At 36.2% G+C, this 22,908-nt stretch overlaps 1 protein-coding gene and 1 pseudogene across 1 annotated transcript in view; one reads left to right on the top strand and one right to left on the bottom strand.

Annotated features, from left to right (window-relative positions):
- DDX10 (DEAD-box helicase 10) overlaps positions 1-22,908 on the bottom strand; it is a 275,859-nt gene that overhangs the window by 110,306 nt on the left and 142,645 nt on the right. The gene's annotated exons all lie outside the window — the stretch shown is intronic.
- On the top strand, positions 7,913-8,489 carry CYCSP29 (CYCS pseudogene 29; annotated as a pseudogene).

Here is a 22,908-nt window from a genome sequence, read left to right as displayed (position 1 = left end):
ACAAGACAAGGATGCCCACTTTTACCACTTCTATTCAACACAGTACTAGAAGTCTTAGCCAGAGCAATGAGACAAGAGAAAGAAATAAAGGGAAACCAAATCAGTAAAGAGTAAATCAAACTGTCGCTGTTTGCTGATGATATGATTGTATAACTAGAAAACACTAAAGACTCATCCAAAAAGCTCCCAGAACCGGTAAATGAATTCAGCAAACTTTCAGGATACAAAATTAAAGTAGCACTGCTATACACCAACAGTGACCAAGCTGAGAATCAAATCAAGAACTCAACCTCTTTCAGAATAGCTGCAAAAAAACGTAAAATACTTAGAAATATACCTAAACAAGGATGTGAAAAACCACAAGGAAAACTACAAAACACTGCTGCTGAAAGAAATCACAGATGACACAAATGGAAACATATCCCATGCCCATAAATGGGTAGAATCAATATTTTTAAATGACCATACTGTCAAAAGCAATCTACAAATTCAATGCAACTCCCATCAAAATACCACCATAATTCTTCATGGAACTAGAAAAAACAATCCTGAAATTAATATGGAACCAAAAACGATCCTGTGTGGCCAGAGCAAGACTAAGTAAAAAGAACAGGTCTGGAGGCATCACATTATCCAACTTCAAACTATACTATAAGGCCATATTCACCAAAACAGCATGGTACTGGTATAAAAATAGGCACATAGACCAATTAAACAGAATAGAGAACCCAGAAATAAAGCCAAGTGCTTACAAAGATAACAAACATAAAGTGAGGAAAGCACACACTATTCGACAAATAGTGCTGGTATAACTGGCAAGCCACATGTAGGAGAATGAAACTGGATCCTCATCTCTCACCTTACACAAAAATCAACTCAAGATGGATCAAAGACTTAAATACGATCTGAAACCATAAAGATTCTAGAAGATAACATCGGAAAAACCCTTCTAGACTTGGCTTAGGCAAAGACTTTATGACCAACCAAAAGCAAATGCAGCAAAAACAAAGATAAATAGATGGGACTTAATTAAAGCTAAAAAGCTTCTGCACAGCAAAAGAAATCAGCAGAGTTAACAGACAACCCACAGAGTGGGAGAAAATCTTCACAATCTATACATCTAACAAAGCCTAATATCCAGAATCTACAAAGAATTCAAACAAATCGGCAAGAAAAAAAAATTCCATCAAAAAGTTAAGGACATGAATAGCTAATTCTCAAAAGAAGACATACAAATGGCCAATAAGCATGTGGAAAAATGCTCAGCATCACTAGTTATCAGAGAAATCCAAATCAAAACCACAATGCAATACCACCTCACTCCTGCAGCAATGGCCATAATCAAAAAATAAAAAATAATAGATGTTGGCATGGATGCAGTGAAAAGAGAACACTTTTACAGTGTTGGTGGGAATGTAAACTAGTACAACCACTACAGAAAACAGTGTGGAGATTCCTTAAAGAATTAAAAGTAGATCCATTTGATGTACTTTTGATCCAGACATCCCACTATTAGGTATCTACCCAGAGGAAAAGAAGTCATTATATGAAAAAGGTACTTGCATACTCATGCTTATAGCAGCACAATTTGCAACTGCAAAAATATGGAACCAACCCAAACGCCCATCAATCAATGAGTGGATAAAGAAATGTGGATAGGCCAGGCACAGTGGCTCATGCCTGTAATCCCAGCACTTTGGGAGGCTGCAGTGGCTCACACCTATAATCCCAGCACTTTGGGAGGCCAAGGCAGGTGGATCACCTGACGTCGGGAGTTCAAGACCAGCCTGACCAACAAGGTGAAACCTCGTCTCTACTAAAAATACAAAAATTAGCCAGGCATAGTGACAGGCACCTGTAGTCCCAGCTACTCAGGAGGCTGAGACAAGAGAATTGCTTGAGCCCAGAGGCAGAGGTTGCAGTGAGCCAGGATTGTGCCACTGCACTCCAGCCTGGGCGACGGAGCTATAGTCTTAAAATTAAACTGTAGTCTTAAAATTAAGACCCACCTAACAGGTATAGAGTTTCAGATCTGAAAAATGAAAAATATTTTTTTCGGTCTCAAAAAACAAAAAACAAACAAAAAAAAAGAAAATGTGGATAAAGAAATGGAATACTATTCAGCCGTAAAAAGGAATGAAATAATGGCATTCACAGCAACCTGGATGGAACTGGAGATTATTATTCTAAGTAAAGTAAGTCAGTAATGGAAAACCAAACATCAAATGTTCTCACTCATATGTGAGAGCTAACTTATAAGGACACAAAGGCCTAAGAATTATACATTGGACTTTGGAGACTCGGGGGAAAGGGTTGGGGATGGCAAGGGAGAAGACTACACATTGGGTACAGTGTACACTGTTCAGTGATGGGTACACCAGAATCTCAGAAGGCACCACTAAAGAACCTATTCATGTAAATAAACACTGCCTGTTCACCAAAAACCTGTTGAAATAAAAAAAAATTAAAAACAAATAATAAACTTAATACCACCCCCAGCAAGTAGCAAATATATTATGTTTGTGAAATTTTTGTAAGAACTGTAGTCTTAAAATTAAGACCCACATAACAAGTATAGAGTTTCAGATCTGAAAAATGAAAAGTTCTGGAGATTGGTTGTACATCAATGTGAATGCACTTAACACTACTGAACTGCACATTTTAAAATGGTTAAAATAGTAGATTTTATGTTATGTGTCTTCTACCACAAATAAAGATGAAATTTTAAAATTTAAGAGCCAATGAAAATATGGCATCAACTTAAAATGTTATTACAGGAACAAAGTTTGTCTTTTCAGAATTCCTACACAAGTATTAATTTGCTAAGACAAACATACCGGCTATAGCAACAGTCCTAAAATTACACAAGACTAAAGGAGAAGAAGTTTCGGCTGGAGGATGGGGAGCAGGGTGGGCAATGCAAGGGAAGGGTACAATAGATACAAGGAGGATTAAAGGCCCACAATAGAAATCAACTAAAATTATAGGAAACAACGCTTATAAATTATGAATTATGGAAATAATTTATAATCGTTTAAGAAGTCTCGTAGGATTTTTCTTCTAAAAAATATCCATATTTACCAATCTTATGTTTAAAGGTTTAATAGAAAGCACACTATAGTAAACCTTGACCATATGCATAAGTTTGGGAATGCGTAAATTAAGAGAAAAATGAAAATCAGATCTGCCTCCACCACCCAACTCTGTTACTGTAATTTCTTGAGTCAATGGCTATTACATTAGCCTGTTACACAGACTCTGCATTCACTCTCATCCCCATTATAGTAAGCCCTATTGTAATCACTTGTTTACTTCTGTGCTTTTTCCTAATAGACTGTAACTCCCATGAGAGTTAAGACAATTTTTATTCTATCTGTATCCCCAATGTATGACAGATAGGCTAGTATATAGGAAATATTCAATAATGATTGAAAGAAGAATTAGTGAATAAACTACATATGGACTACCTCATTTAATGTTCAGAACAATTGTGAGTCAAATCTTGTTCCTACAAATTTTTAATTAGAAAACTAAAGCTTAGATTAATTTAGCAGTTTGTTCAAAGTTACATAACTTCAAAGTATTTGACCCTGTTCATATTCTACAATGCATAGTTTCATTTCTGCTCAAACTGCCTTAGAAGATTGTAGCATCATAATTTGACTCAATATTTGCCTTTCGAATTTCTATTAATTTAAGAATGTTTGAGAATTGCTAATTTGAGAAACTCCCATAGCTTTTTTTCAACTTTAAATCCATGACCCATTAAGAAAGATTTTCAGAGAGCAGAGCATGGCAGCTGAAAGCCAATGAATTAGAGCTTCAGTGTTCTGGATCAAGGGCCTCTCAATGAGGTTGGACCCAGAGGACACAAAATGGAAGATGCATGCGGATGTGATCACCTCCATACAGAACTTCCTCATCTTTGTGGCCCTGCTGCAAGTCACCGCTAATTGGGCAGCATATGAAAATTGGGCATCACATGTGACTGCAAGATGCGAAGAAGTTGGTTACAGTTTCTACTCCTATCTGCAAATAAAGAGACCCAGAAAGGTGTAAGACACTCTTCGACTGAATGGACATAAAAATTCTACTTGTTAAGAACAAGTTTGGCTCTGGTAACTGAGGTCCATAGCTAAAATATAAAACTATTTGGGAAGTATGAAAGGATGTCTCATGGTCATGGTGTGCCCTTATGCCTGTGATATCCGGCCTTTTGTGAATGTTAGTATAATAGTAAACAATGTCAAGCTCCATTTTCTGGCAAGTATTAATTGTAACGGAACTATGTCTCTATGACAGCCATTTCTGTTTATTATTATACTTCTATCCAGAGTGTATTTGTGAACAGTCCCTTAGTTACACTGGATGAAAGTCAGCACACAACCACAAAGACATTTAAGCATAAGACCATTAGTCTATGTTTTTAATAAATGTACCAATTTAAAAAAAAGATTTTCAGACTTTATACATAGCTTCATTTTAAAAATAATTGTTTTCGCATCAAAAAACCTTTTTAAATACTAAATGTACTATTTCAAACTATAAGACCCCAACCCTAATTCTCTTCTGATAAGAATCACAGCTATTATGAAATTAATTTTTATGAAATACTTGACTCTTTATCTTGACACTTCATGAATTATATCTAGAAAATCATTTAGAAACCCTTCCAAATGTGTATATCATATAGATAATTCATATTTATTCCAAAGTCCGACAGATGACTGCCTACATTTCCTATCAAAGTTACTCATTTGTCAAGGCTTGATTAGTCCTTATTATATTAAGACACAAACTACCAGTAAATGTTAATCTTTTTTCTGTATGATTAATAAGGCCATGCACTACTATTTTCCTTGTAGTTTATAAATTGTAATCCTAATCTATAATGTGATGAAAATGGTCAATGAATACAATGATATATTGAGCAACAATGACAACTATTTACTATGAAATAACCATGATTCATTTTTAAGTGATCTTAATAGGTGAACATGAATGAGAATGGATGATTATGTCTTGCTTGTTTCTTCCCCACCCCAGACCAATACTACATAGATATGCAGTGATCTCAGCTGTGTTCAAACTTCCTTCTGGTTAAGGAGGACCATAAGGCAAAACCTCTATTGATACTGCCAATACGAACATTCTACACAATGTTTTTGATTGCTACATTCCTCCTTCAGGATTTCTGGTGCCTCCTTCAGGTTTAACTTGGAACACTTTCCAGAAATTGCTTTTTAACTTCCCGAGCATGCGTACCTGTCACCTTAATTAAATATCTTAAGAAAAACAACTTTCATATATATCCCCTACACAGTTTCTATTCCCCTCCACTGTTTCCCTCATTTTCCAGATATGCATTCCCTCAAGCCCTCATTCCAACACCTACAACATATTTGTCTTCCTTTCCTCAATTTCTTGTTAGAATTAACATAAGTTTCTTAATTTTAAGACACCTCTTTATAGCATTTTGGCCTAATAATTATTTAAATCTTTCACTGTGCCTGCAATTAGTCTAGATAACATGTAAATTTCTGTTCTTCACCCAACCCCTATCTGACTTTCTTTTCATGCCATTTTCCTTACTTAAGCCTCATTCCCAACTAAGTTTTATGATCATGTTCATTTATTTATTGTCTTAAATGGTTCCTTCTACCTCTTTGAACATTTATAGTGTTACAATAGTTAAGGGAAAATCCCATAATTCCCTATTTACTACCTTAGGACATTTTCCTTGGTTTGTTTAAATTGTTCAGGCCATTTACTGTTCTGTTCGCCTGGCTGGGAAATATGTATTTGCTCTACACCATGACCCTCGAAAAAAACAAAGCCACTATAGTGACAAAAATCTCAGTTATTTCCTGCTGTTTAACAAAATTATGAAACCACTCATATTTTGCTGTAGGAATCCAATTTTTAACCTGCTACTTTTAATAAATATTTCTATATTAGGAAGCAAGCAGCTGGAAGCAATTTAGAGAAACGGTGCCTGATACATTTTTCCCTCTCTTTTTAGATTTCCAAAAAAATGACAGTATTGATTTCATTTTTAACTTGTGTCCAAATTGGCTATATCAATTTCTCATCTCTACAGCTTTTGGAATTCTTCTAGAACTCAGAAATTTTATATGCTACATAGCAAAAAAATAAAAATAAAAAATAAAAAGCAGTAACATTAAAAGTAAAGATAACTTGTGTCACATGGTCATTTGGCTAACAGGGTTAAGGGAAACTGATCACATAGGGGAGGCAACAAGGTGATAATGAGCTAAGTTAAAAGTCCCAGGACAGGTGCGGTGGCTCATGCCACTTTGCGAGGCCAAGGTAGGTGGATCGCTTGAGGTCACGAGTTCGAGATGAGCCTGGCCAACATAGTGAAACCCCATCTCTACTAAAGACACAAAAATTAGCCATGCGTGGTGGTGAGCACCTGCAATCCCAGCTACTGGGGAGGCTGAGGCAGGAGAATCGCTTGAACCTGGCAGGCAGAGGTTGCAGTGAGCCAAGATTGCGCCATTGCACTCCAGCCTGGGACACAGAGCAAGACCCTGTTTCAAAAAAAAATCCTGGGACAGAAATCACGAAACTATTTCAAACAATACGACACTATGATATACTTCTCTTAGGGGAGTATCTCAGCGATCCACACCTCTACTACCTTCCTTCCAAGTGATACCAGAGACTCAGCAAGAATGTGCCAGTAGCTAGATTTAATCAGAATTTGTTTGAACAAAATGGGAGAGCATCAAAATAACATTCAAGATGTTTCATTGTACATTTGACTGAGAATTCCACAGTTGGCTCCAATACCTATAAGAAAAGCAAATTACTTGACAGCCTGGTTAGTGCGGCTTAAAGCAGAGTTTCTGTAAATTCATTCATGATTAAAGTCTAAACAAACAAATGCCATATAACACTAGCTATTCAGTGAACCACCAATTTTTACAAGCAAACAAAAACACACACATGCATGTGCATAGAGAGAGAATCTCTCTATGATTTAAAGCCTTCACAAAGAACTACAATAATGGAAGAAAGATATATGCTAAATTCAAACTGGGTTTGGTACCTGGTTACCATTTTTTGTACCATTTTTGACACAATATTTTAAGACATTTAAGAGATGTTAAAGCTGTCCACTTAGCCGCCCAAGAGGAGATCACTGTTACATCCGACATTTTTCTATAATGGCTTACATTATTAAATCCCAATACATACATGGGCTGTATGTTAACAGAAAGTGAAACAAGCATCACTACCACAACCAAGCTACGTTTACAACTACCATGTGCAGTAAAGTTTCCAAGTTCTACCTTGTATATAAATATTAGCTAAGCAGAAAGTACCAAATGAAAAGTCAAAGGCTAGCCTATGTGTACTACGTTTCGACAAAATGTGCCAGGATGATGTCCAATATTATTCAAAATTGGATATTCTTATACATACCATTTGTAAAACTGTGGTGTGCAAAGCCATATAGTGGTGATTTTAAAAAAACACTGGAATTATTACAGAACTTGGAAGGGTAAAAGGACCCTCCAGGATCACCTAGAGAAACATCACCTACTCACTCCCAAAGTCAAGAGACAATTTCGAGATCACATAGACAGTATCAGCAAAGTCAGGGCTGGAACTCCAAACCCTCCAAAAACCTAGTCTGTGCTCCTACCTTGACACCATATCTATCTTATATTTCATCTTAGCCAAATAGCCGAGAAGCAATATATAATAGTATCTCCAATGGAAACATCTTAGTGCTAGACCTTCCTCTGTGAATCATAATTTTCCTAAGCAATGCTGAGAGACCTCATAAAATGAGAAGAGTGGATTGACAGCAAATGTTCTCTTTAAAATGAAAAGAATCCTTGAAGGAATTCATTTTTAGAAGTGTAATTTTCAAAAGAGCGGGACATCCAGCTTCAGAGAGGGAACCTTCGTAGCACCAGTGATGGAAGAGAATTAAATATGGGTGTTGCTGAGAAAGGCAAGAAGATTTTTGTTCAGAAGTGTGCCCAGTGCCACACAATGCAAAAGGGAGGCCAGCACAAGACTGGGCCTAATCTCCATAGTCTCTCCAGGCAGGAGACAGGTGAGGCCGTTGGATACTCTTACACAGACACCAATAAGAACAAAGGCATCACCTGGGGAAAGGATACACTGATGCACTATTTGGAGACTCCCAAGAAGAACATCCCTGGAACAAAAATGATCTTTGCCAGCATTAAGAAGAAGGCAGAAAGGGCAGACTTGATAGCTAATCTCAAAAACGCTACTCATCAGTAATAACTGGCCACTGCCTTATTTATTACAAAACAGAAATGTCTCATGACTTTTTTATGTGTACCATAATTTAATAGATCTCATATACCAGAATTCAGATCATCAATGAATGACAGAATATTTTGTTGGGCAGTCCTGATTTTAAAACTAAGACTGGCCTGTGGTTAGATGAATATGTTTGTTTTTTTGAATTTTAATAGCAATTCCAATTCAGTAAATGCTAACACTGTTTACTCCTTCTAAAGATATGATTCGATTTCATCAACTTTTCACAAAGATGGTGAATGCCATCTTAAAACTTAATGGAAATTGGTTTTATTTTTAGATTTATATAACTGGTTATGTGAATATATTGAAATACTGGTGAAATTCCTTCACACTGTCTCAGAACCAAGCAAGATTCATCCGTGTTTCATGTTCACTTGCCTCTTAAAGGCAAGAGTTGAAGATAAGGTGGCAATGTCTACTTTATATTTTTGGCCTTAACTATGCCAATCTAATTAGATTCCTTTTATCTAAAATGGTTCCTTTTACTTACTGAAAGGCATTTTAGGGTGGTTTATGTGTAATATCAAATAAAGATTATTTAACAATTCTCACATTTTTTTAAAAAAGCGCTTTCTTACGTTCATAAAAGGACCATAGAAATGACTAAATTTGACCTCTAATTTCTTCTCTTTCAAAAGTAGAGCAACTGACAGAAAAAAACTCTATACCTCAATGCTCTGCACTGCTTTACAATTTCCATCTGCCCCCATTAGCACTTAATCATTAAAAAAAGTTTGACAGCCATTTAAAGTTGCTAGCAGATTTTTACTTATTAGTTTTTCTATCTCCTACCTTAGAATAAGTCCCTGCTACTTCTTTAGTAAATCATCACACTAAAATGCAATATTTTCAGAAATACAACCTCCACTAAAAACAACTGTAAAACAATTCCCAAATAATTTCAATAAAATTTTTACTAGTCCCCAAACTCCATGCTACATAATCAACTTTTTAAAAATCATTCTCCTTCCTACTATCCCAGAGAGACTAGAAAATTTAAGACCTATCAATATGCTTGAAATTCTTCCCCTAAAAGCAAATTTATGTTAAGATTCACTGCTGAATATCTTGAGATACTTGAGACTTATCACCTTCTATCCTCAGCCCTTTGTTGATGTTTCTCGTGATACTTCTTACACTCTACTTGTAGTTTTAAAATCTTCTTTTACTTCATCCCTCTGAAACACTCAACTCCCTGAGGGAATGAGCTTTGTCATACTCATCTTCTAATTCCTTGAGCAAGCACATACATCACGCTTAAACAAATCAATAATTATTTGTGGAACTAAGTTGAGCTTGGGCTAATCAAGATCAATTTTCTTTGAGAGTAACACTCAAAGACTCTGACATGCATTCTACTGTTACTTATTCTGATATCAGTTTGCTTAAATAGCATAGAAATAAACATATTTCACATTTAACTTGACACTTATTTGTTGGGAAAACTGATTCACAGGCCCTAGGCAATAAAGCGTGATGTGAGAAGCAGACCTGTCTGAAAACACCGGGAGTCACTGTGGGCAGCCTAGACCATGAGCTGGAACCATTCCCATCGTCTTTCCCAGCAAAAGAGTCTGAAACCATGCTCAACTTCTGACAGGACCATGGCTTCCTCCCTTAGCAAGGCAGACCTAACTTCCCATGAACCTCAAAGTCTCCACGTGCCTGACGGCTTAATTTCTCAGATGACTGCAGGCATCCACAACTATAATGTCTGGTTCCCTAGTAGTTTGTATGATTACACACTGATACATTTGACCGGCCACTTATTCTAAAAGAAGGGAGAATAGTAACGGAAGGGATATCTCAAGTGGAATGAAAATCTATGCTGTGTCTAGCAGACTGGCAAAACTCTGAGAACCTCCTATGTGGAATAAGAGGGAGACAGAGAAATCAATTCCTTCCCCTACCTGATCCTGGCTTTGTAAATATTCCCTTTTCCCAACAAAGTGTATTCCTTAATCCATGCCATATGTCATTGTGGAATTTCTCTGGATCTCTGATGACAAGTGCCAATCCAGATGGGACCTACCTGACAAATCTAAACCTTTCAGAATTTAGTGAAGAGTAGTTAATAACAGATGCCATGTGCCAAACACCACGCTAGATGTTTTATATTTCATTTACTCGGCACAACCACCCTTTTGAGGAACTGCCTGCATTTTACAGATGATGAAATAATTATTCAGCTAAAAAGGACAGAAGCATGCTCTAAACTCAGGTTTATCAAACATCAAAATTTATCTTCTTGAGCTTTGAAGCTGTACTCTTCTCAGGCCTCCACAATTCCACTGATTGAAATAAACTTTAGGAACATTGCTTGTAGGAAGATTAAGTCTACTCTCTAAATGTTGGACCCTACAATCTCCCTCAGAAATAGGCGTATGGGGCTGGGCGCGGTGGCTCATGCCTGTAATCTCCAGCACTTTGGGAGGCCGAGGCGGGTGGATCACCTGAGGTCAGGAGTTCGAGACCAGCCTGACCAACATGGTGAAACCTCGTCTCTACTAAAAATACAAAGATCAGCTGGGCGTGGTGGCAGGCACCTGTAATCCCAGCTACTTGGGAGGCTGAGGCAGGAGAATCGCTTGAACCTGGGAGGCGGAGGTTATAGTGAGCTGAGATTGCACCATTGCACTCCAGCCTGGGTGACAGAGAAAGACTCCGTCTCAAAAAAAAAGAAAAAAAGAAATAGGCATATGGTTTCTACTTGAACAAACCCTTTGACAGAAAATTCACTAAATAAAACATGTTGTACTGGGACACCTATTCCTGTTTTTCTTGTATATTTTAAAAATAATTATATCAACGGAAAACTGTTTTTACTTTTTCGAAAAAATGTGTCATTTCCAAATGAAATAGGCAATTTATATTGGTCAAAATGCTAATCTAAATGTTTTCTTCAAGTTCTAATATTACCCTCAAGAGGGCTATGCTGGTACTGAAAGTAAAGACAAATTGCATTTTCTTCTGTTACTCTAGGAAAAAGACAATAGTAATTACAAGTAGAGGTAAAATAAAGCTGGGGAGAAAAAACAGGAAAGGTAATAAGAGTTCTGTGACAAGCTTCAGTGATAACTCTGGGCCAAAAGATAGCATGTATATAACAAAACAGACATGGAAAAGGGCAGCTGTACAGAGCTAAGACAGTTACAGTGATGAAAAAAAGGCAATTTGAAAACAAAGTCACAAGAAGGGAAGGAACAAGGAAGAGCAAAAACTCTATGAAAACAATCTCCTCTCAAGTGTTGCAAAAACATTGCACCATACTGCCAAGCCACTTTTCCCACCAACAGAACCCCAAACCATCAACGTTAAGTTAGGAAAATAGAATAATTACACCAACAATGGTAAACTTTGAGAATTTCTTAAACAGATACTAACAAGATGCAAAATAATTGCCATCCATCTCCCAAATATATTCTCTAGTACACCAAAAGAATGTCTGAGATACAAGACTAAAAGTGATAAGTCCCCCCAAAAAAGGGTACATTGGAACATAAAATCAATCTTTGGCATTCAGTGTGGTCATTTCCAAGTTAGTATGTTATTCCTAACCGGTACCATTCACAGCATATTCTAGACTGTTTCTTCTCCAAGCACTTTGGTTATTTGTACCGTACAATAATTTAAAAGATTCAGTTGACTCACTAATAAATGAAACATTAAATAACTTAATTATGATACTAATAAAAGATTTTCTTCAACTAATTTTGAATACATTCAACTTCAATCAAATGAAGTAAACAGGTTGAGTTGACTAAAATTTTCTATTAAATGCAATTAATACTCTACTATTCTATTAAGATTCCTGGAGTTATGTTATGAAACTCACCCATAATTTGGCTAATTCCAAATCTAAGATGCTAAATGTCAAAACTTCCTATAAAAAGACCACAAACTACCAAAGAATAGCCTGATCACAATAGTTACTATGGTCAGCTATTTGAGAAACTCCAGGAAGCCTCATTTGACAAAAGCACACTATACAGTTAATTTTCAACCTGCTTTGGAATGAGCCTCACATTTTAGGAATAATGAACAAACTGCCTCTCACTGTTCTGTCACTAGAAAAGACCTTCACCTTGATAATGGTGTTGTAATACGCTCTACCTTACTCAGAAGCATGCATGTCCACTGGTGAGGGCAGGGAACGCTGACAGGAGGAAATAGGAATGTGTGTGAATATCTAATCAGTTTCCACAGAGTTGCTTTCCTTGAGCTATATCGTGGCGTTGTTTCTTCAGTTTACTTTAAAGACAGGTATTAAAACACTGCTGTATAAAATTCACTATTTTGCGTTTCACAGGACAGTTGTTGAAATAAGAAAAGCTGTGCTTCTCCAAAGTAGCAGCATGTTGTCTCCTTATAGACAAGGTGTTCTTTTTGTTTTCACAGTCAAGACTTCAGAGGCAAATGCCTGATCCACATTTAAGAACTATGTAAAACCTTGTATGAGCCGCATATTAAGTTTCCCATCAGTCATTCCTATTCTATCTGTACTTTGCATGCCCTCCTGTTTTCTATTTTAATATATTTAAAAGCACTTTTTAAGCCTACTTCAAATTTCTTGTAGGATTAGGAGGGATAAAATACGAACTACAAAGAATAAAGAAGCTCGGTCATTTATTCAACAAACACTGGCTATCTACCATACTGTAAGTAACATTCTAGGCACCTGGGGTACAGTAGAGTTTGCATTCTAGTGAGGAGACAAATATGCACGTATGTCAAGGAGTTTTTAAGTGTTAGAGACAAAGGTGAGTAAGGGGCTAGGGAGTAACTGGGCAGAAGGTAACAATTTTAGAAAAATAGGAAAGGCCTTTCTGAAGAAGGTGCAAAGATCTAAAAGAAAAGAAGGAGGAACTCATGCAATGATCTACATAAAGAGTTATAGGTGGAGAAAACAGTAGTGCAAAGGCACATAAATGGAAATGAGTTTGTTGTTTTCAAGAAACAAAAAATTCAGGATGACTGGACTAGAGTGAGCAGGGTGGAAGGCAATAAGAGAAAAAGTCACACAAGAAGATTCTGGATTATGTAAGGCCTCACAGGACAGAGTCAGGAGGTAGATTTTACCCTGAATATGAAAGAAAGAATACAGCAAGTCCTCACTTAACACTGTTTATGTTGATAAGTTCTTGGAAACTGCAAATTTAAGTGAAACAACTACTATATAACAAAACCAATTTTGCCATAGGCTAATTGATACAAACAAGAGTTCAGTTCCTAAGGCATAAAGAATGCCATTTTTCTTAAAGTCAAAGTTTCCAGTAATCCATTTATGATGTTAAGTGAGGACTTTACTGTGCAAGTTTTGACCAAGATACATGACATAATCTTGTTTACTTTGGAAGGTGGGGGTTGCCTGCTATGAAGATTTAATAGGAGCAAGGAAAGTGAAAAAGAAAACCAACTAGAAGGTTATTTTATTGGCCGGGTGTGGTGGCTCACACCTGTAATCCCAGCACTTTGGGAAGCCAAAGAGAGCGGATCACCTGAGGTCAGGAGTTCAAGACCAGCCTGGCCAACATGGTGAAACTCTGTCTCTACTAAAAAACACAAAAATTAGCCGGGCCTGGTGGTGGGCACCTGTAATCTCCACTACTTGGGAGGCTGAGGCAGGAAAATCACTTGAACCTGGGAGGCAGACGTTGCAGTGAGCCAAGATCGTGCCACTGTACTCCAGCCTGGGCGCCAGAGAGAGACTCCCTCTCAAAAAAAAAAAAAAAGGCTATTTTTATTGGTCTACACACAAGATAGAGGGTTTGAATTAGGGCAGTAAGTGAACAATGTGGTAGAGTCTGGATATATTTTGAAGTACACAAGACTCCTTAAAGGGGTAGATCTGGGAGATAAAAGATTTAGAGAAAACTCACGGGTTCTTGGTCTGAGTCCGAAGTGACTGAATAAATGGTATTAAATATCCAAGAGATATTAAACAACTAGTTAAAAGAAGTTTACAATAGTAGAACAGGCTCAGGACATATATTTGGATTCATTAGCATATGAGTTTTAAAGAAAAGGTCTTACTAAATTTGCCTAGGGAGCATACGTAGATGGAGATTAGAATATAAGGCAAAGCCTTGGGGGTATTCCCCCATCATTTAAAGATGGGAAAAGGAGGAGGAACCAGCAAAGACAACCAAGAAAGAACAACCAGTGAAAGCTGGAACAAATCCAGGAATAGTATGGCATGCCAAAAGCTAAGGGAAGAGGGCAATTCCAAAAAAAAAAAAAGTTGCTAGGAGTGTTAAGATGTTCATCCTTGAGTTTAGCAAAATGGGAACTGTTCCAGACCATAGCAAGAAAAGTTTCAACAGATTGGCAGGGACAAAAACCTGACCTGAATAGATTCAAAAGAAAACTTAAGGTGAGGCAGTGAAAACTGTTTAAGTTACTCATTCAAGGAATTCTCTTCCTCATCCTCTGACTTTCATGATGAAGGTCCAGATTTCAATCTAGTGTTATTGAGTCTAAAATTTAGCTATATAATGGGTTACTTTAAAATACTAGAATGAATATCTAGTCATCAATTTTTACATTTTCCAGAAATTTAAGGATTATAAAGAATTCTTATCACTGTGTTTATTAGAAAAAAAATCAAAAGAAATCCAAAGCATTTTAATAAGGGTTCTCTGAATAGAATGTTATATATCCATTTATACAAATGGGACACATGATAGCATTAAATTTAAGCTCTTAATTATGACATTATACAAGTACACAGTTGACCCTTGAACAATATGGTTTTGACTTTTGAGGGTCCACTTATACACAGATTGTTTCAAACCAAATCATACGGAATCTGCAGGATATAAAACCTGTGTATACAGAAGGTCAACCTTTCACTTACATCAGTTTCTCAGCACTGACTGGACTGCAGAACTTGAGTGTGCACAGATTTGGAACCAACCCCCTGCATATGCCAAGGGATGACTGTATTTACTCACTTGACAGCTTTCCCTAGTATTGATAATTTAAAAAAAAAGAAAAAAAGGCCACAAATCATAATATCATGTCTGCTCTGTAACTTAAAATGTATTGGGAAAAGGAGTCTGTATGTTTGTGTACATAGGGAAAAAAGACCCAGGAGTATATAAACCAAAAGGTAATGTTACATCAAAGTATATAACAGGAATATGCTTGATTTTTGTTTTCTTTGTTATGTATTTATTTTTCAAATTTTCAGCAGAAGAGTAAATGAATGGCAACATTTATTATTCATAAGATAAGAATTGCTGATAAAAATTTTAAAATAAAGAACATTCCTACTTATACTTCCAGATTAGCTCTGATGTCGATAACATAAGTCTTTCCTGATTCCGCTTTTCTGCCTCATCTCTAACAAGCTGGGCAATGAGCCCTCATCTATGCTCCCAGAGACTATATCATTAAACTGTCAGTTTCTTGGGATTTATAATTCACTAGATTATTTAATCAATGGCACTAAACATGGGTAAATTGTGGATATTCAGATAAATATTAGCTGATTTCACTTATTCCTATAACAAATATATTGATGTATTATAATCTTCCCCCTAATGATCATTAACTTAATTACGAAGGATCATTTTTCTTTTTAAAGTGATATTTGAAGATAGAGTCATTCCAAAAGTTTGAGAGGTTTTTTTTTGTTACTCTAAGATTCAAGATTTTAAGCTCAAGATTGTATGAAGCAGGAAATCTCTGATGCTATATTCATTTTTATACAAAGCATTTTACATTTTTATTGCATTCAGTCTCCTATGGTAATCTATGATGCATAAAAAAGGTACAGATAGTGGTGTGATGGCTTGTCATCCAAAACTGCTGGAGATCAGAGCTGAGAGTGAATTCCCTACACCTGGGGCTTATTACGTTGTAAAGCTATAAACTAATAATCACATTTGATTTAGGACCTAAAGCAAAAATCAACATTTCACAAATTATGTTAATTAAAAATGAAAAAAATGGCATGGTTACAAATAGAGACTGAGAAAGGGGAAGAAAAATTCACCCTTTAGACTGCAAATAATCTTTATCTAAAAAATTAAAACTAGACAAGGCCATGTTTCATTTACAATACAAAGACCTACCATCTCTTAGCCTATGTCTATGCCATCTGAGTAACTAGAGAAATGTAACCTTTCTGGAATACATATTACCCTATACTTCCTAATAAAGCTTTGGGTGGAAGGTAAAGGATAGGGAGAAGGAGACAAAAAAATTCCAGAATAAAATAAACCCTTACAGTGGATTGCCCAAATTGACACCACCAGATATCTCCAAGTCAAGAAATAAACATAAAAACAGTTTAAGTTCAGAATTTCAGAAAACTCTGACAAGAAATAATAAGTAACACTCTAATATATTTAAACATTATAAACAAACATATACAGATCAATGAAACAGAAAGACCAAAAACAGACCCAAAATACATAAGGTTTTCAGATAAAGGTGACAGGTTAAATCAGTAGAAAAGATTGACTAATGAGCAATATTGGAATAATTGGGTAGTTATATAGAACAAAATAAAGCTGGATCCACACTTCACATCTTGCAACAGAATTCCAAATGAATCAAAAGCTTAGACGCAAAATATTAAACCATAAAAGTACTAGAATTCTCCCAGGGTTTATTCTTTTATAACATTAGAGTAGTGAAGGCCCTGTTCAACTTTAACATGAAATTTAGAACCCATAAAAGACAAAACTGGCAAATTCACCAATATAAAAGGTTTAAAAATATGACCCAAAACAAATGACAATCTGAAAAACAAAAGACAAACAAAACAAAATCAAGTTATTTGCATGTCATCAGGTTGGAAGCAAAAGATAAATTTTCCCAATAGAGAGAGTGAATAAAAAGAGTAAGAAAATTAAGATCATCAGCCCAATTGGACAGTTCCCAGAAGAGCCAATATAAATAGCTCACTCATAAAATAAGACATGTAAAGGTAAACTTCACTAAGATACGAATTCCTTCCTAACCAGCAAAGATAAAGTATTTGAAAAGATGCTGTGTTTGCAGAAAAAGTGGCATCAGATATTATGAGTAGAAATGTGAATTAGTGCAATTTACAATATCTACTGAAATTCAAAATTTACGTACCCTTTGACTTAGTTATTTCACTTCTAGGAATTTATTCTATAGGTATTTTTCTTAAAGAAATATGTGCTCTTAAATTTTTTCAACATCAGAAAGAAAGTACAAATAGTATTTGTTTCTGTTTTCAAAAACATGCATCATGAATTCTGTACCAATTTAGGAACAACTTGGTACAAATCTGTTCATAAAAGTAAATGTTTGTTCTTTTTTTTTTTTTTAAGATGGAGTCACTCTGTCATCCAGGCTGGAGTGCAGTGGCACCATCTCTGCTCACTGCAACCTCCACCTACTGGGTTCAAGAGACTCTCCTGCCTCAGCCTCCTGAGTAGCTGGGATTACAGACATGTGCCACCATGCCCGGCTAATTCTTGTAGTTTCAGTAAAAACGGGGTTTCACCATGTTGGCCAGGCTGGTCTCAAACTCTGGACTTCACGTGATCCACCCACCTCAGCCTCCCAAAGAGCTGGGATTACAGGCATGAGCCACCGCAGCCAGCTGATGGCATTTTTTTATGGCTTTTTTATTATTACAATTTCAGAAATCTCCATTTTACATCTTTTAGCACATGCTATAATCAATCAAGTCAACAGTTACAGAAGAACATGCATAAGTTGATAAAGAGTAATAATATCTAAGAAGTACAAAATTGCAATTCAGTGTTTACTATTATAGCTTAAATATATTTATAAATTAGTGCAGGCAGAGAGGTGACATATCTAATTGTTTGATCAGAAATCTATGAAATACTAATACTCTCCTTCAATTGTACGTTTTTGAGAGATATAATACCATTAAAAAAAATTCAGAACGAAAAAAGTCAACTGAAAACAAAGGCAGTTAATTAACTTACTACATATATCAATTGTAGCAAGATTCACTGGTGCTGTGTGGCAAAAATTAAGCTTATTTCAAAGGCATAGTATTCAGTGTATTCAGGATTTGTTTAACAAATCCAAGAAGTTAACTAGATTTTCCAAAAATGTCTTAGTTATTGATTTTGTTGTCTATTCCACAAATAGCATTTAGTTTGCTGGGCAAAGTCTCTAACAACAGCTATATGGAAATTAATGAGCAGACTGGTTGCAGGCTATCAAAAGCAAAGTTATCAATACTTTTCCTAGAAGAAAATCAGGAACACAGTAACTTGCTTATATCTAACTGTACCAGGATAAAAAAAATTCAAGTGAACATTAACAAAAAAAGATCAAGATCTTCCACATAAGTATAACTGCAATACATATAACAAATGTCTAACAATAATTAATGCCTATCATGCCTAATTATTCAGCTCTCTTCCCCCCCCCATATTTATAATTAATTCCCCTTTCCTGTGTTTCCCTTTTATAATTGTCCTTTGATCTATTTGACCCAACTAACCAAAATTCAATAGAATCACTTGTCATTTCTAGAGTATTAAGCAATGGGAAACTGGTAGGCAGTTAATGACAAAATATAACTGGACATAGAGCCACAGTCAGAGTTTGGAAGATTCTTTCCTACTCCGTGAAAAGGCAAGCATGTTGGATGACCACTTTTAAACAAATCTGTCTAAGGTTATAACATTATGTTCAACAAGTTTTCTGATTTTTTTTGAAAAAAAGATATTATACAAATAGTTACATTAAAAAATAATATTTAATTATGTGCTATATGCCAGATCATGGCAGAGGATGGTGAATAACTTTTTAATTTGTTTCCTTTTCAAAAATAAATCCTGAGAGATGGAATTAAGATGACAGAAAGTTCAGAGAGGAGGTATCATGAAGGCTGTTTTCCTGGAGTATCCTTCCTTACCTGTGCCCCATGATCCTTTTAGAAGTCTAGTTCAAGTTTCACCTATTTCATGAAGCCATTTTTTGCCCATTCCAATATGCTGACCTTGGACCAATTCCTACCATATAATTTAGCCCTTAACTTTACAGGTCTTGTCACATTTCCTAATTTTTATACATACCATTTATCTCCATAAGGTGATGATTGAATGTATATACAGCCAAAGCCAATAAAGTCATCCCCAGTATACACACACACTGTACTGGGTACACTGCTGAGTAAAAAATGATAGTCAATATATACTCACACAGTGTATCAAGTGGCCAGCTATGATTGATTCAACAGAATCTAGTGATCTCCTACAGGGATCACTAAGGAAGGTAAACAAAACAAACATCTCCCTTGGAGAGTTTATATTCCACTGGAGATAGACAAGGAAAAATGATAAGAATGTTTAAGTACTATGAGAAAAAGTATATAGCAAAGAAGAATGGTGATTGTGTGGTGTGTATCTAGGGGAGGTGCGAAACGGGTTGGTGGTGAGTTTGGAAGATTCTTTCCTACTCACCAAAAAGGCAACATGCTGGGTGCTCACTTTTAAACAACTCTCTCTAAGGTTATAACATTATGTTCAACGAGTTTTCTGGGTTTTTTTGGAGAAAAAGATAGTTAAAATTCCCAGGATTTCTAGTTGTGTGTGTGTTTGTGTGTGCACACATGCACTTATCACTGACTTGGGGGACTAATCCGAAGCAAACCACAGGTTCCGTTGAAACATAAACATTTATACTTTGGATGAAGCTTGTCGATTTAATCCAGCAACCTCATTTTAGAAATGTGAACCCAATCAGTAGGTTGTAAATAAATTTCGCACCACTCTCAACACTGTCACTACTTGTCAACCTCTTCCCCGCATCTTTCTCTCTCTCACACACACACACCCTAGTCCTCCAAACCAAATTTATAATCTATAAATACAATTGGGTGCAGCATCTCCTATTCTTCTCCACACAGATTGTCATCACTGCTCTCATGAAACATAATAAGATCAAATAACACCTAATTAAAAAAAACCCAATAGGTTCGAAAGGAATACTGTAAAAACTAATCATCTTTACCCGCCCCTCCCCTGGGGCCCAGAGTTCAGGCTAACACAATTTGCAAGTTCCACTGCATTACAAATACAACAGATGTTTATCGATTAGGAAGGAAAACAAATAACCAGTCCTAACTATCTCCTTCTCCATGCCCATACAATTTTGAACACTTATTATATTATACTTGTAGTGAAATTGTCCATCTATTCAGATGGAACTCGGCCTTACTTAACTCACGCTCCCAGACAAGTACTTTCCACATGAAGAACACTCAAACATTTATGAATGACCTAAGAAACAATATATTCTGAGCTGCAAAAACCTCTAACAGTAACCACATATAAAAGAAGGGTTGCAGGATAATGTTGATGGTAGCTTTTTTAAACATGTTTATTACCGCTTCTTCAAAGTTCATTATTGGTGTATAAAACTCTATCAATTTTTGACATGCCTGCTATACCAAAGATGAGACTAAGCCAAAAGGGTAGAACACACAGATGCAAAAGAGATTTGTTAATTCATTTTTTGGATGACTACTATGTATGCCAAGCACCATACCAGACACTGCTACATAAGAACTGCTATCCAGTGGCTCATAATACTGTGGAGGATACATGCATTAGAATGTGAGTTCCATGAAGGCAGACTTCATCACGTCTGTGTCTCCAGCCCTTACATACGGCCTGGTATGAGCAGGTAGCTCGATATTTTCTGAATGAATCAAGCAAATTGAGAGATAGCTCCCCCAGACTCCACTCTTCCATTCTTACCTTCACCTTTATTGGTATTCACTCCTATCCTTTAATTTTGTTCCTTCCCTTCTCTTTCTTACCCAAAGATGATGCCACTGAAATTGGGAGTGTTTCACACTTGCAGAAACGCTTTACAGAGCAGCTTGTTCTCTGTTTCCTGTTTTCACTGTAAGGATACGTATGCTCAAAAAGTCAACCAACACACATGGAGGAAGGGGGCGGAGTCCCTAACACCACATTCCCTTTATTACCTTATCATCCAAGCCAAACTACCTCTGAAAGTCTACCCAAAATGTCTCGCATTTTAACATCTTATTCACCTCTCAATCCACTGCGATACGGTTTCTGATCCCCACTACTCTACTGAGTCAGTACAGTGGCCTACTAAATGTTTGAGTGAATGCTTGGACAATTGAAGCGGGTGTTAATGGTTATATAAGAGTTTGTATTCTCCATTGTTTTAATAGATCAACCAATATATCACTCAAAGTTGCCCCAAATAATTATTTTAAGATCAGTGCTAGTAAAAACTAGCATTTCCTGAAAAAAAAAAAGTTATTTTCCACTATTACAGTTAGAATGAAGTCAAAACCTTTGCATTCCTTTTCAATATAGACATCAATACTACAGACAAACTTCTAAATACTATGTTCAATTATAAAAACTACGTACATGCCCTAATTGCAAGCACATGGACGTTCTTTGTGTGTGCATACATGCTTTCCCTTGCCTTCACATTCAATAAAATATATTTTCCCTATACCAGATTTTCACTTTTCACATTTTTGCCATTTTGTTACTTTTTTTTTTAAAGGTGGGCCACCTCAAATCCTTTGCTGCTGAGAGACATGAGCATGGCTGACAGGATGGCTGGCTGGGTAGATGAGTAAATCTTTTTCAAAATGTAGCCTGTTGCTTTGCCAAATAGTACATTATCACTGGGATATCAAACAAAGATGGAAACAACCTTAAGGACTACTGATCACTTATTTTCTGGTTTGCAAAACTGGATTTACATACTCCCACGACAGGAAATTTCACCCCTATTTCTACAATGTGGCTAAAGGATCTCAAAGGCCAACATCTTTATGGTACTTAAAATTGCTCTGATCTGGTAGCCCAAACTATGTCTAATCATCCTAAAAGTAGGTATTATTCTAACATAAACAAATCCATAAATAAATGTATAAAAGCTACTATCATCCAATATTTCCCCCCACCCCCAAAAAAAATCAATCCTAAACTGCTCAGCATTTTTTGACTTAGAGGTCAAATTATACAGGTAGTCTACATATTACATTCTCAAAGTATCCCCCAACACATGGTTTTCAACAATAGTTACTGGAAAAAAAATTTGTAAAAAAAACTCCGCAAATTCCCATCATTGAAACATTTCTCTTGCTATGCTTTCTCCTTCCCATTTTAACTAAGCGTTTTGTAAAAATAGTTTTCTCCCCTCACTCACTCAAACTGATTAAAATTTCTTCTCATGACTCTATGAAATTAGCCTTTCACCATACTCACACACATGCGGATACATCATAAGGCTATTTGTGAGTGAAACTGTGTTACCTGACGTATCTACAGCTTCGCACTGTGCCTCAATGCTTCATCCATGGGGTTTTCAGAACGTGACACTTTTCTAATTTACCTTCCACCTTGCCAGTAACTATGGATCCATCTCTTTTCCTTCATACTATTCCTACTGAAAACCCTGTATTTTGTATTTCAGAAGGTACTATTTCCAGCCTTCTCGTCCTACATTCTACTTTAGTAGAAGATATTTTTATATGACCTCACCTATTACCTACACAGATGACTCTCAAATCCCAAACACTCTCTAGTGTTCCAGACCCAGAAA

Source organism: Homo sapiens, chromosome 11 (genome assembly GCF_000001405.40).
Source record: "Homo sapiens chromosome 11, GRCh38.p14 Primary Assembly".
Classification (NCBI taxonomy): domain Eukaryota; kingdom Metazoa; phylum Chordata; class Mammalia; order Primates; family Hominidae; genus Homo; species Homo sapiens.
The sequence above is the reverse complement of the archived record's forward strand: the minus strand, read 5'-3'. Positions and strand labels throughout refer to the sequence as shown.